At 40.3% G+C, this 21719-nt stretch overlaps 1 protein-coding gene across 15 annotated transcripts in view, besides 2 other annotated features; it reads right to left on the bottom strand.

Annotated features, from left to right (window-relative positions):
* Positions 3267 to 3435: a silencer, noted in NCBI's record as "fragment chr11:108021496-108021664 (GRCh37/hg19 assembly coordinates)". NCBI's record gives its function as "represses an EF-1alpha promoter that drives an FKBP-Casp9 reporter gene in an ReSE screen in K562 erythroleukemia cells {active_cell/tissue: K562}" and the evidence as "EXISTENCE:reporter gene assay evidence [ECO:0000049][PMID:32094911]".
* ACAT1 (acetyl-CoA acetyltransferase 1) overlaps positions 6601 to 21719 on the bottom strand; it is a 30899-nt gene continuing 15780 nt past the window's right edge. For 10 of the 15 annotated variants that reach the window (NM_001386682.1, NM_001386681.1, NM_001386685.1 and 7 more), the window contains 10 exons: positions 20267 to 20384; positions 19888 to 19983; positions 18962 to 19062; positions 15163 to 15306; positions 13989 to 14139; positions 12504 to 12599; positions 11654 to 11767; positions 10157 to 10221; positions 7845 to 8002; positions 6601 to 6934 (listed from right to left, as the gene is read on the bottom strand). In NM_001386682.1, coding sequence (NP_001373611.1) covers positions 6814 to 6934; positions 7845 to 8002; positions 10157 to 10221; positions 11654 to 11767; positions 12504 to 12599; positions 13989 to 14139; positions 15163 to 15306; positions 18962 to 19062; positions 19888 to 19951 — 1014 coding nt within the window. In that variant the 5' untranslated portion in view covers positions 19952 to 19983; positions 20267 to 20384 and the 3' untranslated portion in view covers positions 6601 to 6813. Of the gene's footprint in view, positions 6956 to 7844; positions 8003 to 10156; positions 10222 to 11653; positions 11768 to 12503; positions 12600 to 13988; positions 14140 to 15162; positions 15307 to 18961; positions 19063 to 19887; positions 19984 to 20266; positions 20385 to 21719 lie in introns of all 15 variants that reach the window. The other 5 variants (NM_001386677.1, NM_001386679.1, NR_170163.1 and 2 more) reach the window with 5 other exon arrangements.
* Positions 16645 to 16845: a silencer, noted in NCBI's record as "peak1447 fragment used in MPRA reporter construct". NCBI's record gives its function as "represses an SCP1 promoter by STARR-seq MPRAs in K562 erythroleukemia cells {active_cell/tissue: K562}" and the evidence as "EXISTENCE:reporter gene assay evidence [ECO:0000049][PMID:32103011]".

The following is a 21719-nucleotide window of genomic DNA, read 5'->3' as shown; positions in this document are numbered from 1 at the left end:
TTCGGATGGATGTTAGGTGTCTGAGTATTCTCCCTTGTTATTCTTCTGAAAGCGTTATGGTTCAACCTATTTCATTTTGATTTGACCATCTATCTGGAATTGATTTTCCACATTGATATACAATTAACCCACACTATTTATTACCAAAGATTATCCTTTCCCAACTACATTGCACAGTTACTTTTCTCATAAGCTGGTAAATGTGTAGGTTTGTTTCTGGACTCTATGCTGTTCCATTGGTCTGCTTTCTTTAAGATGTGCTAATAACACACTGTCTTAATTAATGTTGAAAATCTTTTTTTTTTTTTTTTTGAGATAGTCTCACTCTGTCGCCCAGGCCAGAGGGCATTGGTGTCATCTCTGGTGACTGTAACCTCCGCCTCCCAGGTTCAAGCAATTCTCCTTCCTGAGCCTCCTCAGTAGCTGGGATTACAGTTGTGCGCCACCACACCCAGTTAATTTTTGTATTTTTAGTAGAGACAGGGTTTCACCATATTGTCCAGGCTGGTCTTGAACTCCTGACCTCAGGTGATTCACCCACCTCAGCCTCCCGAGGTGCTGGGATTACAGGCGTGAGCCACTGTGCCAGTCCCAAAATCTTTTATATTTTAGTTCTATTTATTTTCTATACTGAGTGAAGTCTGTTAGTACTAATGGATTTACCAGTGCTACTTTTTAATTTGTGAAGTATTATCTGTAAATAATTATTTTCCAATTTTATTTATTTTTACTACACTGATATTAGCACTTCCAGTGCAACTAATAATGATCAAAGTCTGCTTCATTGTCTTGTTCCCCATTTTAATGGCAATGTTAGGTATAATGTTTGCTTTTATTAAGTATAATGTTTGCTTTTGTTGGTAGAGTTTTACGATTTTACATCAGAAGTACCTGTTCAACTTAATTGCCACGTTTAAGCATCAATTAAAATATTTTCATTGAACTCATGAATTTCTTTTTATATTAGTGATTATTTTAAGTAAGTTTGCTTTGTGAATATTTTATTTAAATGTTTTTGGTTTTTGTTTTTGAGACAAGGTCTTGCTATATTGCCCAGGCTAGAGTGCAGTGGCTGTTCATGGGCACAGTCATAGCCCACTATAGCCTTGAACTACTGGGCTCAAAGGATCCTCCTGCCTCAACTTCATGAGTAGCTGGGACTACAAGTGCACACCAACACACCCAATGAAAAGTTTACTTTTAATGAGATTGGTTTCAAACTTATGCCAGTTTTTAAAATGAATTTTAAACCTTTCCTTCTTTTTCTAGTTTATTTGAATATTGGGGATAATAAATAGTACCAGTGCTAAAGTGTGAAGTTTAAATTGTACAATATATGTAAAAGCACTTAGATTAATGCCTGGAACATAATAAGCACTTTAAGAACTAGTTGCTATTATAGCTGATGCTGTTTTTTATTTCTTTTTTCTGCAACAGTTTATTTAGAATGAGAAATAACTGTTCCTTGAGACTAAATCACTACTAAATTATCTAGGCCTGGAGCCTTTTGCTTAAGCAGTTTTCCATTTTTTTTTCTCCTAAATTTCTTCCTGGCTGATTATCTATTCAGGCTTTGACCTTTTTTTTCCTGAGTCAAATATCACATTTTTTTTAATTTTGGCTTTTGTTCTCTAAGATACAATTAACTTTTTTCTGTCAAAAACACTTCTTAGATTCAACAGTTGTATAGGAGCCTATTCTTTGTGCTTCCTACTTTCTCAGGGTCCTTTTTGCATGTTTATTTAACTTAAATTAATAAACAGTTATCTGATTTTTTTTTCCCCTTCTTAAACCATGTAAGCATTTAAGGCTGTGAATTTGCTTCTGATTTCAACTTTCAGCAAAATTTGGGTAAGTACTTTTAATATTCATACATAACTATTTACAATAAATGATACCAGGCTCTTTTTTGCCTAAAATTTTTATTATTGTGGTCAGGATAAGTTGCAGGTTTTATAAATGTTGCACGGGGGCTTAGAAATAGGTAATGTTGGCTGGGCATGGTGGCTCACACCTGTAATCCCAGCACTTTGGGAGGCCAAGGCAGGCAGATCACTTGAGCCCAGGAGTTCGAGACCAACCTGGGCAACATGATGAAACCCCCATCTCTACCAAAAATTAGCCAGGCATGGTAGTATGCACCTGTGGTCCTAGCTACCAGGGAGGCTGAGGTGGGTGTATCACTTGAGCCCAGGAAGTCAAGGCTGCAGTGAGATGAGACCATGCCACTGCACTACAACCTGGGCAACAGAGCAAGACCCTATCTCAAAAAAAAAGTTAAAAAAGAAATAGGTATTGTTTAGAAAGGTAAAGTTTGATATGTATTCAGTCTTATACTGTTTGAATCCTGTCTTTGCTTTAATACTTTTTTCACAAGTGTTTGTTTAATCCATGAAACATTATTATCTTGGTCATAGCTTTGGCTTTTTTTCTGCCAAAAAAAAAAGTACAAAGTAGACCATCATAAAAAGTAGTTCTTTCCCCATTTTAACAGTTTCTGCCTTCTCATAATTTATGATACATGCAACCCTTTTTACTTTTTTTTTTTTTTTTTTTTTTTTTTTTTTTTTTTGAGACAGAGTTTCGCTCTTGTTGCCCAGGCTAGAGTGCAGTGGCATGATCTCAGCTCACCACAACCTCCACCTCCCTGGCCCAAACGATTCTCCTGCCTCAGCCTCCCACGTAGCTGGGATTACGGGTATGCACGACCACGCCCGGCTAATTTTGTACTTTTAGTAGAGACGGGTTTTCTCCATGTTGGCCAAGCTGGTCTTCGAACTCCTGACCTCAGATGATCCACCTGCCTCGGCCTCCAAAAATGCTGGGATTACAGGCGTGAGCCACCTCGCCCAGCCTCTTTTTACTTTATTATTGGATTTTAAAGCTGTTGTCTTATAGTAACTTAAGATATGGAACTGTAACCATAACAGGTCCATTGCCCATTGTGCATGACAAGTCAGTATGTAAGACCCTGGGCTGCAGCAAAGAAAGATGTTTAATTGCAGGGCCACCGAATGAGGAGACTGGAGGAAACTTCAAATCTCTCCCCGAGGGTTTAGGAAGTGGGCCAAGGTGCAGCCTGTTTAGTGCCTAGTTATAACTATATTTCTGTCCAGGACCCAGCATGCAATTCTTGTAAGTCCCGTGAGGGCAGTCTCAGAACTTGTCCTACTAGCGTTTACCTTTATTTAGCAGATAAAGATAACATGTTACCGATATTTCACCATGTAAAGGCCAAGGGAAACCAGGAGGTAGGTGTAAAACACAAGAAAAAAAAGGAAAATACAAGGAAAAAAGGAAACTCAACATATTTTAGAATACTTCACTGAAGGTAAGTAGTGCATCCAAAGGTTGGTGATCTGGAAAACATTTGAAAAGTGCTCTGAAAATTCTGGGGAAAAAATGGAAAGGAAGAGAAAAAATAGAGAACCAGAAAGTAAATGGTATTTCTTTTCTTTGTTTAAGAGACAAGGTCTCCCTCTGTCCCCCAGTACAGTGGCAGGATCATTTCACTGTAACCTTGAAGTTCCCCTTGGCCCTCTGAAGGTTTGCTGGAAAATAAAGCTGTTTGCAAAAGGCAGATTAATTGGAGAAAAGGAATATACATTTATTTAATGTTGTATACATGGGGGCCTTCAGACAAAGACCTGACCCCGCCCCCAGTGGGGTGTAGAAACTTTTTTTTTTTTTTTTTTTTGAGACAGTCTCACTCTGTTGCCCAGGCTAGAGTCCAATGGTGTGATCTTGGCTCACTGCAACCTCTGCCTCCTGGGTTGAAGCGATTCTTCCACCTCAGCCTCCTGAGTTGCAGGGACTACAGGCATGCGCCACCACGACCGGCTAATTTTTGTATTTATAGTAGAGACAGGGTTTCACCATGTTGGCCAGACTGCTGTCGAACTTCTTACCTCAGGTGAGCTGCCCATCTGGGCCTCTCAAAAGTGCCAGGATTACAGACATGAGCCCCTGTGTCCGGCCAGGTGTAGGAACTTTATACCATCTTCAGGTTACAGAAGTAATGTGAGCTCCCAGCATGGCCAAAAACATGTTATTTTGGTAAATCAGGTTTTAGTGGCAACACAGGTTACGGGTAGGGAAAGGAGACCTGGCTAGGAAAGGTGGTCTTGTTAGAAGCTTTCTGAGAGAATGGATGTTAAATGTTTAAGACCTTTAAAGGTGTCAGACAGGCTCTCATTTAACCTTTTCTAGATTCCAGACAAGGGAAGTCCTGGCTGCATTAATGGAGATTCTCCATAGACGCAGATTTCTTTCAAAAAAGACAGCTTTGCAGCACCACTTCTGTTTGCTGGCCCTCTGATAGCCATCTCAAAATATGTCAAATAAATATAATTTGAGGTAAAACATTTTTATTTCCTTCAACCACTACCTTTCCTTCTTCCCCAGCCAGTCCTTAAGCAGTCATTTAAAAAATTAGAAACTTTCACCTAACTGAATTCTTAATTCTTCATTCCATGGGCTTGCCTAAACCTTTGTCATTTTTGGAGGAAACATCAGAGTACTTTATTTTCTAAACTTTTCTGTGTTTGAGACACACCTTTTAGTATCTTATTTTGTTTCATTAAAAACAGTTAGATGTCCTGTCACTTGTTTTCTTGGATTGAATGTAATAGAAATAAGAACTGTGGCTACCTATTTTTCTAACTAGATGTTAGAGGAATTTAATACATTTTCTCCAGAATGTCTTAGTATGATTTTCTGCTAATTAATTTTGCCAATAAAATATGCTCTTTAGGGCTGGGCGTGGTGGCTCATGCCTATAATCCCAGCACTTCGGGAGGCCGAGGCAGAAGGATCACCTGAAGTCAGGAGTTCGAGACCAGCCAGGCCTACATGGCAAAACTCTTCTCTCTACTGAAAATAAAATAGCTAGGTTTGGTGGCGCATGCCTGTATACTCAGGAGGCTGAGGCACGAGAATCGCTTGAACCCAGGGAGCGGAGGTTGCAGTGAGCCAAGATCGTGCCACTGCATTCCAGCCTGAGCTACGAAGCAAAACTCTGTCTCAAAAAAGAAAAAAAAAAAATGCTCTTTAAAATCTTCCCCCTTAGGACTTAAAAATCTGAGTTTTTCTATTATCTTTATGTTTTCTGTTATATTAAATTATTGCTTCAGAGTATCTTTTTTTTTTTTTTTAGGAAACACCATTTAAGCTGTGCATGGTAGCATGTGCCTATAGTCCTAACTACTCAGGAGGCTGAGGGAGGCAGATCACTTGAGAACCCAGGAGTTCAAGGTTACAGTGAGCTATGGTCATGCCACTGCACTCCAGCCCAGGCGACAGAGCAATACCTTATCTCTTTAAAACAAATTAAAAAACCTACTTACTTGATTCTCTGTTTCTTCTCTCTTTTCCATTTTTTCCCAGAATTGTCAGAGCACTTCTCAGATGTTTTCCAGATCAATGACCTTTGGATGCAATGTTAGTTTCTGCTTATCTTCAATGAAGTATTCTCATGTTTTGGGTTTCCTTTTCTCCTATATCTTATCCAGCTCCTGGTTCAGTTAGAAGTTTTTGTAAGTCGGGGCAGATAATTATTGAAAGGCATTTAACTAAAGCATAGTAAGTTAAGAACGTGGGCTCTGGAGCTTGACTAACTTGGAGTTGAATCCTAGCCAGCTTTTTGCCCTTGGAATTTATTTAGCTACTCTATGCCTCAATTTCCTTGTTTATAAAGGAGGGATAATAATGGTACCCACTCTTAGAAGTTTTTGTGACAATTAAATGAGTTTATACATATAAAGCACATAACAAGCCTCAAAAGTTGGTGATGATTACAGATGTTTTTGAAAATACTCTACTCTTCCTCTGAATCTGAAGAGCAATCTAATCTATTTCTCCCATATATTGTCATTTTGCTCCTTCAAAAGATCTACAATACATTATTTGCCAACAGATAATGTGTACACAATGACCTTTACTGCCCCCTCCTCTTCCTGAGGGGGAGTTTTCCCTCTTCAGAGCTGCAATTGAGGGTAGTGTGCATAGCCCCTGCCTGTAGCGTTTTAATTAATTAATTTTTTCCCAGATAAAATGCAATGCGAGATACTTCTGTTACAGTCTGTCCTGCTTAAGAACAGGCATTGTCGTGTATTGGAAGTGGTGATCTGTTCCCTTTTTTATATATCCATTCAGCATATCAGTTTCTACCTCCCTTCCCACTCTCTATGCTGCTATAGTAATTCAGAGCCCAAACTCCAGGGTTTTCTGCTTGACCTCCCCCAACCCTGAATGTTGAGGTTATAAGAAATTGCCCCCACTCTAGACCCTGAGGACATGGGCTTCTGTCTTGTTTCTAGTACTGCTGCACACACTGTGGTTTGAGTGATTATATGAAGCACTGCTAGTTTGTCCAGAATAGCCAACTCTTACTGTAAAGAGAAGTAATTTAATTTACCGTAATTTACTAAATGTAAATTACCTATAAAGAGCATTCACTTGACCTTTAACAATCCTCAAAAATATAAATGTGTTCTCACAAATGGAAACTTCTAGCTACTTATGTAAGTCACTAATATTACACATTGGTATTTCTACCATATTTCGATAAGTATAGACTCAGAATGCAAAAATGTATCAAACTTTTCAAGGTTACCAAGAAAAAAGCAGAAGAAGAAATTTATTTTTAATTTCAAAATGTTTTGGGATTTCATCATTTTGATTTTTAAAAGTTAACATAGAAAATAATAAAAAATGAAACAGCTTATCTGAATATAAGCTGACCCACAGTAGTCACACTGATTACAGCAGGCCTTCTGGTCACATAGGGTTGTCTCCTTAAATAGCAGAGGTTGTCTACAGCTTCTGAATTAGCATGGCAGAAGCACCTCCTCCTCCATTGCAAATACTGGCAAGACCGTATTCTCCTTGCTTCAAGGCATGAGTCAAATGACCAACAATCCTGGCTCCAGACATCCTAAAATTAAGAAAGCATTTACTTCTTTAATGAAGTACAGAATTTATGACTAACCAAAATGTTTCTATTCCAATTTAACTTCTTGAAAACCTTACTAGCCACTACTACTTGCTGAATTAACTACTACTATTCTAAAACTAAAACTTGGAGGACTTGTTTCAGGAAGGGTCACAGATCTTAGATCATTTTTTGAGATGGAGTCTCGCTCTGTCGCCAGGCTGGAGTGCAATGGCAGAATCTCAGCTCACTGCAACATCCACCTCCTGGGTTCAAGCGATTCTCCTGCCTCAGCCTCCCAAGTAGCTGGGACTACAGGCGTGCACCACCACACCCAGCTAATTTTCGTATTTTTAGTAGAGACAGGGTTTCGCCATGTTGGCCAGGATGGCCTCTATCTCTTGACCTCGTGATCTGTTCACCTCAGCCTCCCAAAGTGCTAGGATTACAGGCGTGAGCCACCGTGCCTGGCCAGGTCACAGATCTTTTAAAAGTACAGAACAGTATAATGGATAGAAGAGTAGAGTATAATGGAAGAGGGATGTGGGATAAACTACATATTGGGTGACTGACAGGTGCACTGAAATCAGCCCCCACCACTATAAATTCATCCATGTAACCAAAACCCACGGTACCCTAAAGCTAATGAAATAAATAGGAAGGAGAAAAAGGGGGTAAAAAGTCTAAATGTACACTTTTTCTTCTTCAGCATAAAACATTATTAGGTTTCAAATAACAGATGTGACAGGTCTCTGTTCAGTATTGGATACCATCTATCAGAAATGGTTTTTGCCTTATGAAAGATGGGTAGGAAGGAAAACTTAAGAGCAATGGGAATTATGAAGCAGTTTTAAGTTTAGCTAGAAACACAAAGGCAGCTCTTAACCTAGATATAGTTATTATTTTTACCTACCCAATTGGATGTCCCAGAGAAACAGCTCCTCCATTGATATTCACTTTTTGGGGATCAATCTCCAACATTTTAATGTTTGCTAGTACAACCAGACTAAAGGCTTCATTTACTTCCCACATTGCAATATCTTCTTTTTTCAATCCCACATCTTTAAGAACCTTAAATTTTTTAAAAGACAGATGATGTTCAAATAATTAGCAATCACAACTTACTGTCATCATTTCCTTGAAATACTACAGTTTGACATAAGTTATTTAAATATGGAAGTTCTTGGTTTCAGATGGAAGGATCTCTATTTTCAGATTTTTTTTTTTTCCAACAGTCTTGCTCTGTCTCCCAGGCTGGAGTGCAATGGCGCCATCTTGGCTCACTATAACCTCTGCCTCCCAGGTTCAAGCAGTTCTCCTGTCTCAGCCTCCTGAGTAGCTGGGATTACAGATGCCCACCACCATGCCCAGCTAATTTTTTGTATTTTTAGTAGAGACAGGGTTTCACCATGTTTGGCCAGGCTGGTCTCAAACTCCTGACCTCAGGTGATCTGCTCACTTCAGCCTCCCAAAGTGCTGGGATTACAGGCGTGAGCCACCGCACCCGGCCCATTTTCAGATTTTTAGTTGCTCATCTTATTCCATTATATCAAAGAATTTTGTTTGCATTATGTCTGTTTTGACATAGGGGACAGAAAATTTGATTTTCTTTCCACAGATATTTGAAAAGGTACATTTTCTATTTAGGGGCACATAATGCTTTATATATTCTTAAGCTCTGCTTTACTGATTGTGTGTTGCTTGGTTCTATATTCTTTTTTGTTGTTGTTGATTTATTTTGAGACAGGGTCTTGCTCTGTCACCCAGGCTGAAGTGGAATGGCACAGTCATGGCCCACTGCAGCCTTGACCTCCCAGGCTCAAGCGATCTGCCTCCCAAAGCGCTGGGATTACAGGCGAGCGCCACTGCACCCAGCCATTTCTATGTTCTTGACTGTTAATGAAAGAGGTATATTAGTTTCTAATATTAGTGATATTAATGCATCCCCTGCAGTTTCTGCTTTATAAATGTTACTGTAGGGTTATCTGGGCCACAGATATTTACATCTGTTGCAGTTTCATTGTAAGTCATTTATTTAAAATCTTACACTATATGATCTGTTTTGTTTTGGTAGTTCCTCAGCTATGCAGGAAGGTGTATTTGTGCCAGTGATTATCCCTATGCTAATACTTTTTAAAACATTACTAGTGAGTGCCCTAAAACATTACTAGTGAGTGCCCTTTTTCTTTACAGAAGAAATTTGATTGTTGTGAGCGATAATAAAATTAACGTGGAACTCTTCCTCCATCTTCCTCTCTTCTACTAGTGGACTAAGGGTAGCTTTCTAGCCTATACAGCTCAAACAGCTTCCACTGTTCCAACAACACAAAACAAAATATGGTACCCATATATAGCTATGTCTGTAGCTCTCAGAAGTTATTCTACCTTCAGAATCCAGAATTGTTTATTACCCTTGCTTTCCAACGTGATGTTACTCACTTTCAGAAGCTGCGTGTTCCTTTCATTTTCTGAGATCTGCTAGCTCTGAGCAGATCATCACTCCACTGGCCCCTTGTTTCTGATCTTCTCTATTCTTGTTTCCTACTGATTCTGCAGTTTTTTTTTTCATTGCGGGGGTTGGGGGCAGTGGGGAGAATCTGATTTTACTAAAATTCTGCAATTTTTTTTATCTGGGTGCTTACAGAAGTTTACTGTCAGGGTGAGGCCCTCTCAAAAGGAAATATTTACTTAAGATTTCTAAGAACCCTGAACCCCTAAAACTTTCTTTTCCTGTGACTGCTTAGCAATTTCCCACTGAGACTTGGATAGCCCTTACTGACAATTTGGAATATGTAGGTTTTCTGTCTCTAGTTTTACTATTTACTCTGAAGACCTGCTGCCAGCTGTTCCCTTTCAGAATGGAGTCCTCTCCTGGGGAGTGACTAGTTGCTTTCCATTCTAGATCTGGAACCATCAGCCAGCATTCCCTCCGCTTTGTGGTTACCACACCAGGTGTGTGAGTTCTGTATGATACTTACAAGTAATTCAGATGTGTAGTTTTACCTGTTCTACTGAAGATGTAGTTTGTGAGCTGTTCTTTATTTTTTTTTTTTTGTTTGTTATCCTTGTTGCTCTTACTCTTTTCAGGAGAAGACATGGGAAGATTTGAAACCAAGCTATCTCTCTGCTTTGGCAGATAACATTTAAAATCTTAAAAACTGCAACCTTGGTATAAGCAAACCAGAAGCTAGCATAATGGAGTATCGCCCCTCACTTTGTTCTCACCATAGATGCAGCATATACAGGAGCAATTGGAAAATCAATAGGTTCTACAGCAGCGTCAGCAAATGCTGTTTAAAAAAAGGGGGGGGGGGGTTGTTAAAATCTTTTTTTTTTTACTGTATAGAATATGCACAAGCCAAGTTTAGCCCATTAAATGCACATTTCCTAGCCCCTTTAATATATGTAAATATATGTCTTCCTTTTCTAGGATTCTACACTTTATAAAATTACTCCAGTAATCTAAGACACTGATTTTCATTGGGGGGGAGTTTGGGGGTATTTGCCTCTAGGAACATTGGCACCACCTAGAGATGTTTTTGGTTGTCAGAATAGTTCAGATGCCACTGGGTAAAGACTAAGGATTCTGCTAAACATCTACAATGCATAGAACAGTCCCTACAACAAAGAATTACTTAGTGCAAAAGTCAATAGTGCTGAGGTTAAGAAACCATGATCTAAGCTAAGAAAAAAAATGAAGTTATAAGGCTTTTTATAAAGTAACAAAATAGCATCTGTTAAGTCCTTAGGAAGAAGGCAAGACAGATTTCTGCAGCTAAAAATCGGCTTAAGGACATTGAGAACTTGCCCAAGGCCACAGAGTTAATAAATACTAAAACACCACACATGTAAATTTTGTATTTCTGGACTCCTAATCCCATATTCTTTTTTTCCTACATAGCTGCCTCTGTAGGAAAATGCATGTACTTTATTTTCTGCTATTTATCATACAGGACAGGAAGTTTTTTAAAGCTTAATTTAAAAAAAAAGAAAAAGAGACAAGATCTTGCTCTGTTGCCTAGGCTGGCTGCAGCTTTGACATCTTGGGCTCAAATGATCGTCAGCCTTAGCCTCCTACGTAACTGGGACTACAGGCATGCTACCACACCTGGCTAATTTTTTTCTTTCAGAGGTGGGGTCTCACTGTGTTGCCCAGGCTGGTCTCAAACTCCAGGCCTCAAGCAATCCTGCCTTATCCTCCCAAAATGCTGGGGTTACAGGCGTGAACCACTGTGCCCAGCCCTTAAAGCTTAATCTTATATAAAGTATAATGAAAATATTAAAGGAGCTTCTATCTCAATTGAAATATGTATCAATTAAATTCTGCCACAAGTACAACCTAGGTAGTAATACTTAATATTGGAGTTGGCTATATCTAACAAGTAAACTCAATTTCATGAAGAGCTTATAGATGTTTAGAAACCTTATTTTTTTTTAAGACAGGGTCTCGCTCTGTCACCCAGGCTGGAGTGCAGTGGTACAATCTCAGTTCACTGCAACCTCAAACTCCTGGGCTCAAGGCATCCTCCCACCTCAGCTTCCCGAGTAGATGGTAGTACAGGCACATGCCACCATGCTCAGCTAATTTTTTAACTTTTTGTAGAGACGAAGTCTCACTATATTGCCCAGGCTGATTTCGAACTCCGGGGCTCAAGCAATCCTCCCACCTCAACCTCCGAAAGTGCTGGGATTACAGGTGTGAGCCACCTCGCCTGGCCTTACCTACTATTCTTGCCAGTGGTGTAACATTGAGCCTCTTCGCTGCATCTGCCGTCATGAGAACCAGAGCAGCTGCTCCATCATTCAGTGTACTGGCATTGGCAGCTGTTACTGTGCCTGAAAGCAAAAATGAGGTTGAAGTCAAAACATTCCTTCACAATAAATGTATTTGGTTCAATTCAACAAATACCTATTGCCTGGGCTGCTAAATGTTTAAAGAAATTACAAATATGGGTGGAGACAATTCCTGCCCTCAGGAAACATGTACACAGCTAACTGCAAGACAATGTAAGAATGCCTTTTTGTGTACATAAAACAGTTTTCTCAAACATCACAAACATGCATGATGGCACTGGATAAATGCTCGTCTACAACTCTTGAAACATAGGGACCAGTTAATATTTTTGTCTCCAGGGTCTAACTTTCCTTATTCAATATATAGCAGGTACTCACTACATATTTTTCAAATCAGATATTTATTCTTATCTAGAATCACCTGGAGATAAATATAAATGAATGTTAAAAACTACCAAACCACTTTAAATAGAAGAATGTTATTATGGTATATAAATTATATCAATAAATCTGTTTTTTTCAATGCCAATGAAGACCCTATCATAGACTGCTACATATGAAAAACTGAATTCTATAGTCATGTTATACATATCTTCCCTGGGATTTATATATTGAAGGTATAAACTACCAAAACAATTTTACATGAGCCTGATATACTGAAAATGTTAAATAACATCTAGATGTTTTCTAGAATTTTTCAAAATCCTTAGGCAATTCTAAGAACTAGATATGGTATACTGGCTCAATTTTTTCTTATGCTTCATTTCTTAACACTAACCATTTTCTTTCTGGAAAACTGTCTTCAGCTTTGGAACTTTGCTAAAATCAACACGTTTATATTCTTCATCTTCTTTCACCACTACATCTGGTTGACCTAAAATAAAAATATTTTAAGTAAAATCGCTCAAAACAAGTAGTCATTCAGCAAGCAACTGTTGTACAAGATGCCTAGTAGTCTGTGCCTCCCTTTGTATCCCTGCTTCACTTAAACCATCCCAAGTAAACACTCATCTAGAATCTGTTAACTATAACCTCTATTATGTTACCATCTTAAAAAGAGAAACTTACAAAGTAGCTTCACAATTTTTTTTTTTTTTTTTTTTTTTTTTGAGGCAGGGTTTCCCTCTCCTGCTTAGGCTGGCATGATCACAGTTTACCTCATCCTCTCCAGGCCCATGTGATCCTCCCACCTCAGCCTCCCAAGTAGCTGGGACTACAGGTGGGAGCCACCACAGCCAGCTAATTTTGTTTGTTTGAAATGGTCTTGCACAGTCTCCCAATAGAGTGCAATGCTACAAACCTAGCTCACTGCAGCCTCGGACTCCTGGGCTCAATTGATCCTCCTGCCTTGGATTCCCTAGTAGCTGGGACTACAGGCGTGTGCTGCTATACCCAGCTAATTTTTAATTTTTTTGTGTGGAGGCCAAGTCTCACTTCGTTGCCCAGGCTGGTCTCAAACTCCTGGGCTCAAGCAATCCTCCCACCTCGGCCTCCCAAAGTGTTGGGATTACAGGTGTGAGCCACTGCACCCAGCCACAAAATTTAAATCTTCTACACCTCCATGTCCCCTTTTCTTCCTCAACTCCCTTCTATGATCACAGACCCCACTCTCCTGACCCCAGAGGCAGCTGTCTGACCTACACTAGATAAGCTCTAGTATTCTGTCACCTAGAGCACAGTAATCATTCCTGGAATAGAATTGTAACCTAAAGCAAGTTAATGAGTCTTCATTGTGGATTTATTCTGCTGGAACTGGTGAGAAAGTCTCTCCTTTTTGAGAACCCTATATATGTGACCCTAGAGGTAGAGGCAGCAACTTTAGAAAGGCTGAGAGAATAAAGCACAAAAGCCTGCAGGTGTGAGAAGCCAAGAGAGCATGTCTTAGTAGTAGTGAACACCCAGTTCCAATCCCTGAAGTTCCCAGAGCTGAATGGTTGCTACTGTTCATCCTTCAGTTCTTGGAGGCACTCCCGGTAACCTTCTAGTAAATCCCTTTTCAATTTAAAATACCGTATTGACTGTCACAGGAAAAAGTTCTAATAAATTTCTCAAATTTAAAGTAATACTCAGGGATCTTATAAATGGATTGAAATCTGACATTAAGTTGGGTAGATTTATATTCTCTCTGAACTGGCAACTCTTCACTTTTTATTAACCATAAGCAGTTGAAATGAACCAAGATAATGTCCTAATTTAAAACTTAAGCATAAAACATTCAGCAACATGAAAAGTCTATTCATCCTTTTTGGAACATTATCTCTACCTTTTACTGTAACTGTGACAGGAATAACTTCATTTCCAAATTTCCCAGCTTCCCATGCTGCTTTACTTCTGGTATAAGAATTAATAGCATAAGCGTCCTGTTCATTTCGTGCAATATTCAGCTTCTTTGCTGTATTCTCAGCACAGCTGCCCTGATAAAAAGTTGAAATATTTTAAAGTTAACTTTGCATAATTTAGAAAATATCTATTAACTTTGCCTAACTTATAGTGTTTAATAGTTAACGTTTCTTAAAATATATTTCTTAGGCCGGAGGTGGTGGCTCATGCCTGTAATCCCAGCACTTTGGGGGGCCAAGGCAGGCAGATCATGAGGTCAGGAGATCAAGACCATCCTGGCCAACATGGTGAAACCCCGTCTCTACTAAAAATTAGCCGGGCATGGGGGCACGTGCCTGTAGTCCCAGCTACTCGGGAGCCTGAGGCAGGAGAATTGCTTGAGCCCAGGAGGCGGAGGCTGCAGTGAGCTAAGACTGTGCCACTGCACTCCAGCCTGGGCAACAGAGCAAGACACCATTTCAAAAAAATAATAATAACATATATATATACACACACACATATATATTTCTTTCTATACCAGGTCACTTTTCACTCATGTCTTTTTTTGAGACGGAGTTTGACTCTTGTCACCCAGGCTGGAGTGCAGTGGTGCAATCTTGGCTCAATGCAACCTCCACCTCCCGGGTTCAAGCAATTCTCCTGCCTCAGCCTCCTGAGTAGCTGGGATTACAGACACCACCACCACGCCTGGCTAATTTTTTTGTATTTTTAATAGAGACAGGGTCTCACCACATTGGCCAAGCCGGTCTCAAACTCCTGACCCCAGGTGATCCACCTGCCTCGGCCTCCCAAAGTGCTGGGATTACAGGCCAGAGCCACCGCACCCAGCCACTCATGTCTTATCTTCACATACTTGAATTAGCCAAGCAGTTGCCAGCTAAGCGTCAGAAATTACCCTATTTAAATGTGGGAAAATTTCTTTAATGACTGAGCCATGCCGATGCAATAGGCATACAAAAATATTCTCCAAAAGTACACGGCTAAAATCAACATTTATAGAGCCCATCTTTCAGTTCAGTTTGTAAAGTACATAGAGTAAGAAAAATCAAACAGTATTGGACATTAGATAGCATTTATCCACTAAAAATCACATTTACCATATGAATTTTATTGTAGACATCAGTTAGCCCGTCTTTTACAATCAAATCTTCAAGCTTTACCCCACCATATGGTGTTGATCCTCTGTTCATTACATATGGAACATTGGACATGCTCTCCATCCCACCTGCCACCATCACATCCTGCGCAGAAACACCAGAAAAACCCAATGTTAATACAAATATTTTGCAAACCCATGACACCCTTTATACAGCTACCACCAAACAAGTATTCTACATGCATTTATTAAACATTTGTTACACAGTGAATACAGGAAGTACCCTCTTTACCACTTCACCCTGATGAAAAGAAATGGTGTTAAATAATATAATGAGAAATAAGTTGGCTGGGTGCAGTGGCTCACACCTGTAATCCCAGCACTTTAGAAGGCTGAGGCAGGTGGATCACTTGAGGTCAGGAGTTCTGGATCCGCCTGGCCAACATGGTGAAACCCCGTCTCTACTAAAAATACAAAAATTAGCTGGGTGTGGTGGTGGGCACTTCTAATCCCAGCTACTCGGGAGGCCAAGGCAGGAGGATTGCTTGAACCTGGGAGGCAGAGGTTGCTGTGAGCTGAGATTGTGCCACTGCACTCCAGCCTGGGGGGCAGAGCAAGACTCCTCAAAAGAAAAAAAAAAAAAGTAGAGGCGGAGATTGCAGTGAGCTGAGATCGTGCCACTGCACTCCAGCCTGGGTGACAGCAAGGCTCTGTCTCAAAAGTTCACAACCAGACATTAATAAGAATACCAGAAATCTGGCTGGGCACGGTGGCTCACCCCTGTAATCCCAGCACTCTGGGAGGCCAAAGCGGGCTGATCACGAGGTCAGGAAATCGAGACCATCCTGGCTAACAGTGAAACCCCATCTCTACTAAAAATACAAAAATTAGCCGGGTTTGGTGGCACACGCCTGTAGTCCCAGCTACTCGGGAGGCTGAGGCAAGAGAATGGCGTGAACCTGGGAGGCAGAGCTTGCAGTGAGCCAAGATCGCACCACTGCACTTCAGCCTGGGTGACAAAGCAAGACTCTGTCTTTAAAAAAAAAATACCAGAAATCTTTCATGTAAAACCATCTTCTGAAATTCTTAAATTTTCTTTTAGACAGGTCTCGCTGTTGCCCAGGCTGGAGTGCAGTGGCACGATCTCAGCTCACTGCAATCTCTGCCTTTTGGGCTCAAGTGATCCTCCCACCTCAGCCTCCCAAGTAGCTGGGACTACAGGCATGCACCATCACACCCAGCTAATTTTTGTATAATATTTTTAGTAGAGATGGGGTTTCACTATATCACCCAGGCCGGTCTCAAACTCCCAGACTCAAGCGATCCGCCCACCTCAGCCTCCCAAAGTGCTCGGATTACAGGTGTGAGCCACCATGACTGGCCTGAAATTCTTAACTTCTAACCCTTCATTTCATTCATGCTGCTAAAAATTTAATGTGCTCTAGAAGATTAGAAGTAATCTCAGTTCATGAAAATAATCATACTTCCTTGACTGAGATCCTCATCATCTCTTCCTGGACAGCTGAGATAATTTTCCACTTGATCTTCTGACATGCAGCCTTTCCACCAAAGCATCATCAACACTCATCTGACTCATTTTGGCTAGAATGTAAGTCTGATCATTTCGCACCTTAGATAACTCAGCATAATATATAAAGCCTTTACAGTATCCCTTCTCTCCCCTTTTTCAGTCTCACAGCCTAACCTATACCTCAGGTCACATGGAACTAGTTAAAGCTCTCCAGAGACACCATGCACATTTCACACACATACCTCTGCACTTTCCCCATCCACCAACATGTAAAACACCTACATTTCTCTTAAAACTAATCAGAACACTACTTCATGTCTGCCTTGACCATTTATTTCTATCCTTTCTTGAAACAGTTTCTCCTCCTTTGTGTTCCCCAATTACTATGCAATGCTTTTAATATTATTATATGTTTACATGTCAAGTCTTCCCACTAGACTATGCTCCTTTGAGGCCAGACACCCTGTCATATTTTTACATCCTTGGCAACTGGCATATATAAGTTTAATAAATATTAATCAACTTGTTACTACTTTACAAGTCAACAAAAAAAAATCACTTGCATTATAAGGGCTAGTTAAAAACAGTTTAATATAAAACATTAATGTAAACATAAAGCCAATAATATCTTCTTACAGTCTTTAATCAGGCATACAGACAAGCAAGCTCTATACCAAAGAAACATAAATATTTTGCCTATTCCGAAATAGAGAAATTCTTAATCAGTTCTCATCTAAGTTTTATTCACTTGTACTTTTTACTGGGGGTGATGGCAATAATAAGTGACAGAAAATAAGGTATCAATTCTTCATTATAAAGTAAAACTGACTGTTTTCTAAGGTCATAAATATTCAAAACAAAGCACTTCCAAGAATGCCTATAAGTCACTGTATATATCCACAAATGAATAAAATAATATTAAATGAAAGTATTTCAATATAGTACAAATGGCATTTGCTAGAGAACCACAATACTTCAATTAAGACAAAACTTTCCATGACAAACAGTTCTGAAACTAAATCTGGTGACCGTTTTTCACCTACCAGTTTGACAAGGGTTTGGTACCACCCAGTGGTGGTGCAGATCCAGACAAGTCACACAATTTTTGGAAAGTCTAACTGGTACAACTTTTATGGAAAGCATTTGCAAATACCAAAATGTTCAAATCCTGACTCAGCATTTCTTTTAGGCATTTTTCCAACAGAGACCTGCACATGTACAGATTTTTTTAAATGTTTTGTTCACCACTCTATTTCCAATGACTGTCACATGGCAGATGCTCAGCCCTGTAACTCTGTGGCTGTCTCAGACACACTGAAAAAAATCTTCATCTGAAAAATGAAGGGCTCAGATCTGAGAGAATCTTGATTCTTCTGTGTGTCCAGGTCTCACCTCCTGACATGACAGCATATTTTTGCTAAGGAGCCTGTCTCTTGCTTGATCTCAAGTAAAGACAAGATATAGATCAGCAAGGCTAATTAGAAAGCCTGTAGAACTTAACTTAATGACTACAAATTAGTCATCAAGCCTGGGCTCAAGCAATGATTTGATTCCCAGGGTTAAGCACCGTGTTCTCCTTTATAATGAAAACCTGTCTTATTCTGGCAAATACAGTATTTATGAATTTTTAGTCACCCAGCCTCAGAGAAAGACCCAAATGCCTTGACTAAAAACAATTTTTTTTTTTTGAGAGTCTTGCTCTATCTCCCAGGTTGGAGTGCAGTGGTACAATCTCAGCTCACTGCAATCTCTGCCTCCCAGATGCAAGTGACTCTTGTGCCTCAGCTTCCCGAGTAGCTGGAATTACAGGCACCTGCCACCACGCCCAGCTAATTTTTGTATTTTTAGTAGAGACGGGGTTTCACCATGTGATCTGCCCCCAGCCTCAGCCTCCCAAAGTGCTGGGATTATAGGAGTGAGCCACTGTGCCTGGGCCTAAAAACAACTTTGTAACACAAGACACTTAGGCTTTTTTTTTTTTCAAAGAGCAGAGTCTCGCTTGCTATGTTGCCTACGCTGGTCTCAAACTCCTGGGATCCTCCTGCCTCGACCTTCCAAAGTGCTTACAGACATGATACCCAGCCTACGCTATCATTTTGACCATACTTCAAATGGACTTAGCAAATCCAGACACTCTTGAGCATGTGAGAAAACATACTAACTTATGAGAAAGAATCTCATTTCTAAAATATGAATATGCCTAGATTTTTGTGTCTTTTAGCCCTAGGTATTACTCTGATTAATAAATGGGAAGGACGGTGTTTCTTACCTGATGTCCACACATAAGACTTTGAGAGGCCATCATGATGGCTTTCATTCCTGAAGCACAAACTTTGTTTATGGTGGTACATGGAGTAGAAATAGGTAAGCCTAAAACCAATATAAGTCACTTTTGAAAAACCGATACTCAAACACAACTGCAGAACTTAATAGAGCATGTTACTATAAACTACAACATTTCTTCTGCCAATATAACTACAAATTATATCATGCATTTAATATTTCATTTAAGCTTAAATAACCTTCATTTTGCCATTTTATACTTTTTTTTTTTTTTTTTTTTTTTTGAGACGGAGTCTCACTCTGTCCCCCAAGCTGGCGTGCAGTGGCGCGATCTGGGCTCACTGCAAGCTCCACCTCCTGGGTTCACGCCATTCTCCTGCCTCAGCCTCCGGAGTAGCTGGGACTACAGGTGCTGGCCACCACGCCCAACTAATTTTTTGTATTTTTAGTAGAGACAGGGTTTCGCTGTGTTAGCCAGGATGGTCTCAATCTCCTGACCTCGTGATCCACCCGCCTCGGCCTCCCAAAGTGCTAGGATTACAGGCGTGAGCTACCATGCCCAGCCTTTTTTTTTTTTTTTTTTTTTTCTTTCAGACAGAATCTCACTCTGTCGCCCAGGTTGGAGTGCAATGGTGCAATCTTGGCTCACTGCAACCTCCGCCTCCTGGGTTCAAGCGATGCTCCTGCCTCAGCCTCCCAAGTAGCTGGGATTAGTGCACCACCACACCTGGCTAATTTTTGTATTTTTAGTAGAGACGGGGTTTCACCATGTTGGCCAGGATGGTCTCCATCTCTTGACCTCGTGATCCGCCTGCCTCGGCCTCCCAAAGTGCTGGGATTACAGGCATGAGCCACCGCACCCGGCCCCTTTTACACATTTTAAGTATAAAAGCAAAAAAGTCTTCCAGGTACCTGCACCCAATACTGCCTGCCTTGTAGGAGCTTGTCCTTCACCTCCTTGTAGAACATTACCCATGTATGCTTCTTTCACTTCTTCTTTTGGAATCCCTTTATTAAAAAAAAAAAAAGTCAAAAAGGCATTTAATTCAATTTAATAATCAGTGATTACCTAATAAGGTAGGTGACATTACACAATAGGAATGGTTTCTTTTTTTTGTCAGTTTTGAGTTTCAATCTAAACTGTATAGTACAAAGACTTCTTTACAAGGGAAAGCAGAAATGTAGGCATTAAGTTATTTCTAAGTGTTACATACATAGTTAATGCAAAATAAATATCTTTTCCATGGAATCTTTTTGCTCCCTTAACACAAAAAGCCAAGTAACTACTGACCTGCCTTTTCAATGGCTCCCTGAATTGCAATGGAACCAAGCTTAGTGGCTGGCAGCAAGGAAAGGCTGCCTAAAAAAGATCCAATGGGTGTTCTTGTAGCACTTACTATGACCACTTCCTGGCAAGACACAAGATGGTAAAAATTATAGGTATTTTACCCAAATCGTATTTCATTAAATAAACATAAATATATTATCAAAAAAACACTTCTATGAATGAGTCATCAAAAATTAATCTCAATAGTTGAACAGCTGTCAAGATAATCAGTTCAATGCTAGTGCTTTATGATTTAAGACCTTATAGAAACCAACTCTAAAACAGATGTAGATCCTTCCCAGTTCTCTACAGGAGGTTTGAGGACAGAAGCTTAAGTTTCCTTTCTATTCCTCAGTCAAAATTCAAGAAATGATCACTGTACCTTGTTTTTTTGTTTGTTTTTGTATTTTTGTTTTTGAGACAGGGTCTTGCTCAGCTGCCCAGGCTGGAATGCAGTGGCACAATCATAGCTCATTGCAGCTCAAACTCCTCAGCTCAAGCAATCCTTCTGCCTCAGCCTACCAAAGTGCTAGGATTAAGGGTATGAGCCACCACACTCAGCCACTTTACTCTTGTTAACTGCATAATAAACAACTCTAAGAGGGTCCCTTACTGAAAGGAACTCTGGCTAGGAATCAAGACCTGTATCCTAGGTGGGGCAATACCACTTAACTAGGACAGAGCCAGGGCCAGAATTTCTTTTTTTATATGTAATTTGAGATGGAGTCTCACTGTGTCACCCAGGCTGGAGTGCAGTGGTATGATCTTGGCTGACTGCAACCTCTGCCTCCCGGGTTCAAGTGATTCTCCTGCCTCAGCCTCCTGAGTAGTTGGGATTACAGGCATCTGCAACCACACCCGGCTAATTTTTGTATTTTTAATAGAGATGGGGTTTTGCCATGTTGGCCAGGCTGGTCTTGAACTCCTAACCTCAGGTGATCCACGCACTTTGGCCTCCCAAAGTGCTGGGATCACAGGCATGAACCACTGTGCCCAGCCAGAGCCATAATTTCTTTTTTCTTTTTTTTTTTTTTTTTTTTTTTTTTTTGAGATGGAGTTTTGCTCTGTTGCCCAGGCTAGAGTGCAGGCACGTGATCTCAACTCACTGCAAGCTCCGCCTCCCGGATTCACGCCATTCTCCTGCCTCAGCCTCCCGAGTAGCTGGGACTACAGGTGCCTGCCACCATGCCCACCTAATTTTTTGTATTTTTAGTGGAGATGGGGTTTCACCGTGTTAGCCAGGATGGTCTCGATCTCCTGACCTCGTGATCCACCTGCCTCGGCCTCCCAAAGTGCTGGGATTACAGGTGTGAGCCACCGCACCCGGCCCAGAGCCATAATTTCTTAAACAGTAAGACAATAATATGAACTTTAAGCAAAAGAAGATAAAAGCTCTCTTGAATACTATAAAACAGCA

The sequence above is a fragment of the Homo sapiens genome, chromosome 11 (assembly GCF_000001405.40).
Source record: "Homo sapiens chromosome 11, GRCh38.p14 Primary Assembly".
NCBI classification, from domain to species: domain Eukaryota; kingdom Metazoa; phylum Chordata; class Mammalia; order Primates; family Hominidae; genus Homo; species Homo sapiens.
The sequence above is the reverse complement of the archived record's forward strand: the minus strand, read 5'-3'. Positions and strand labels throughout refer to the sequence as shown.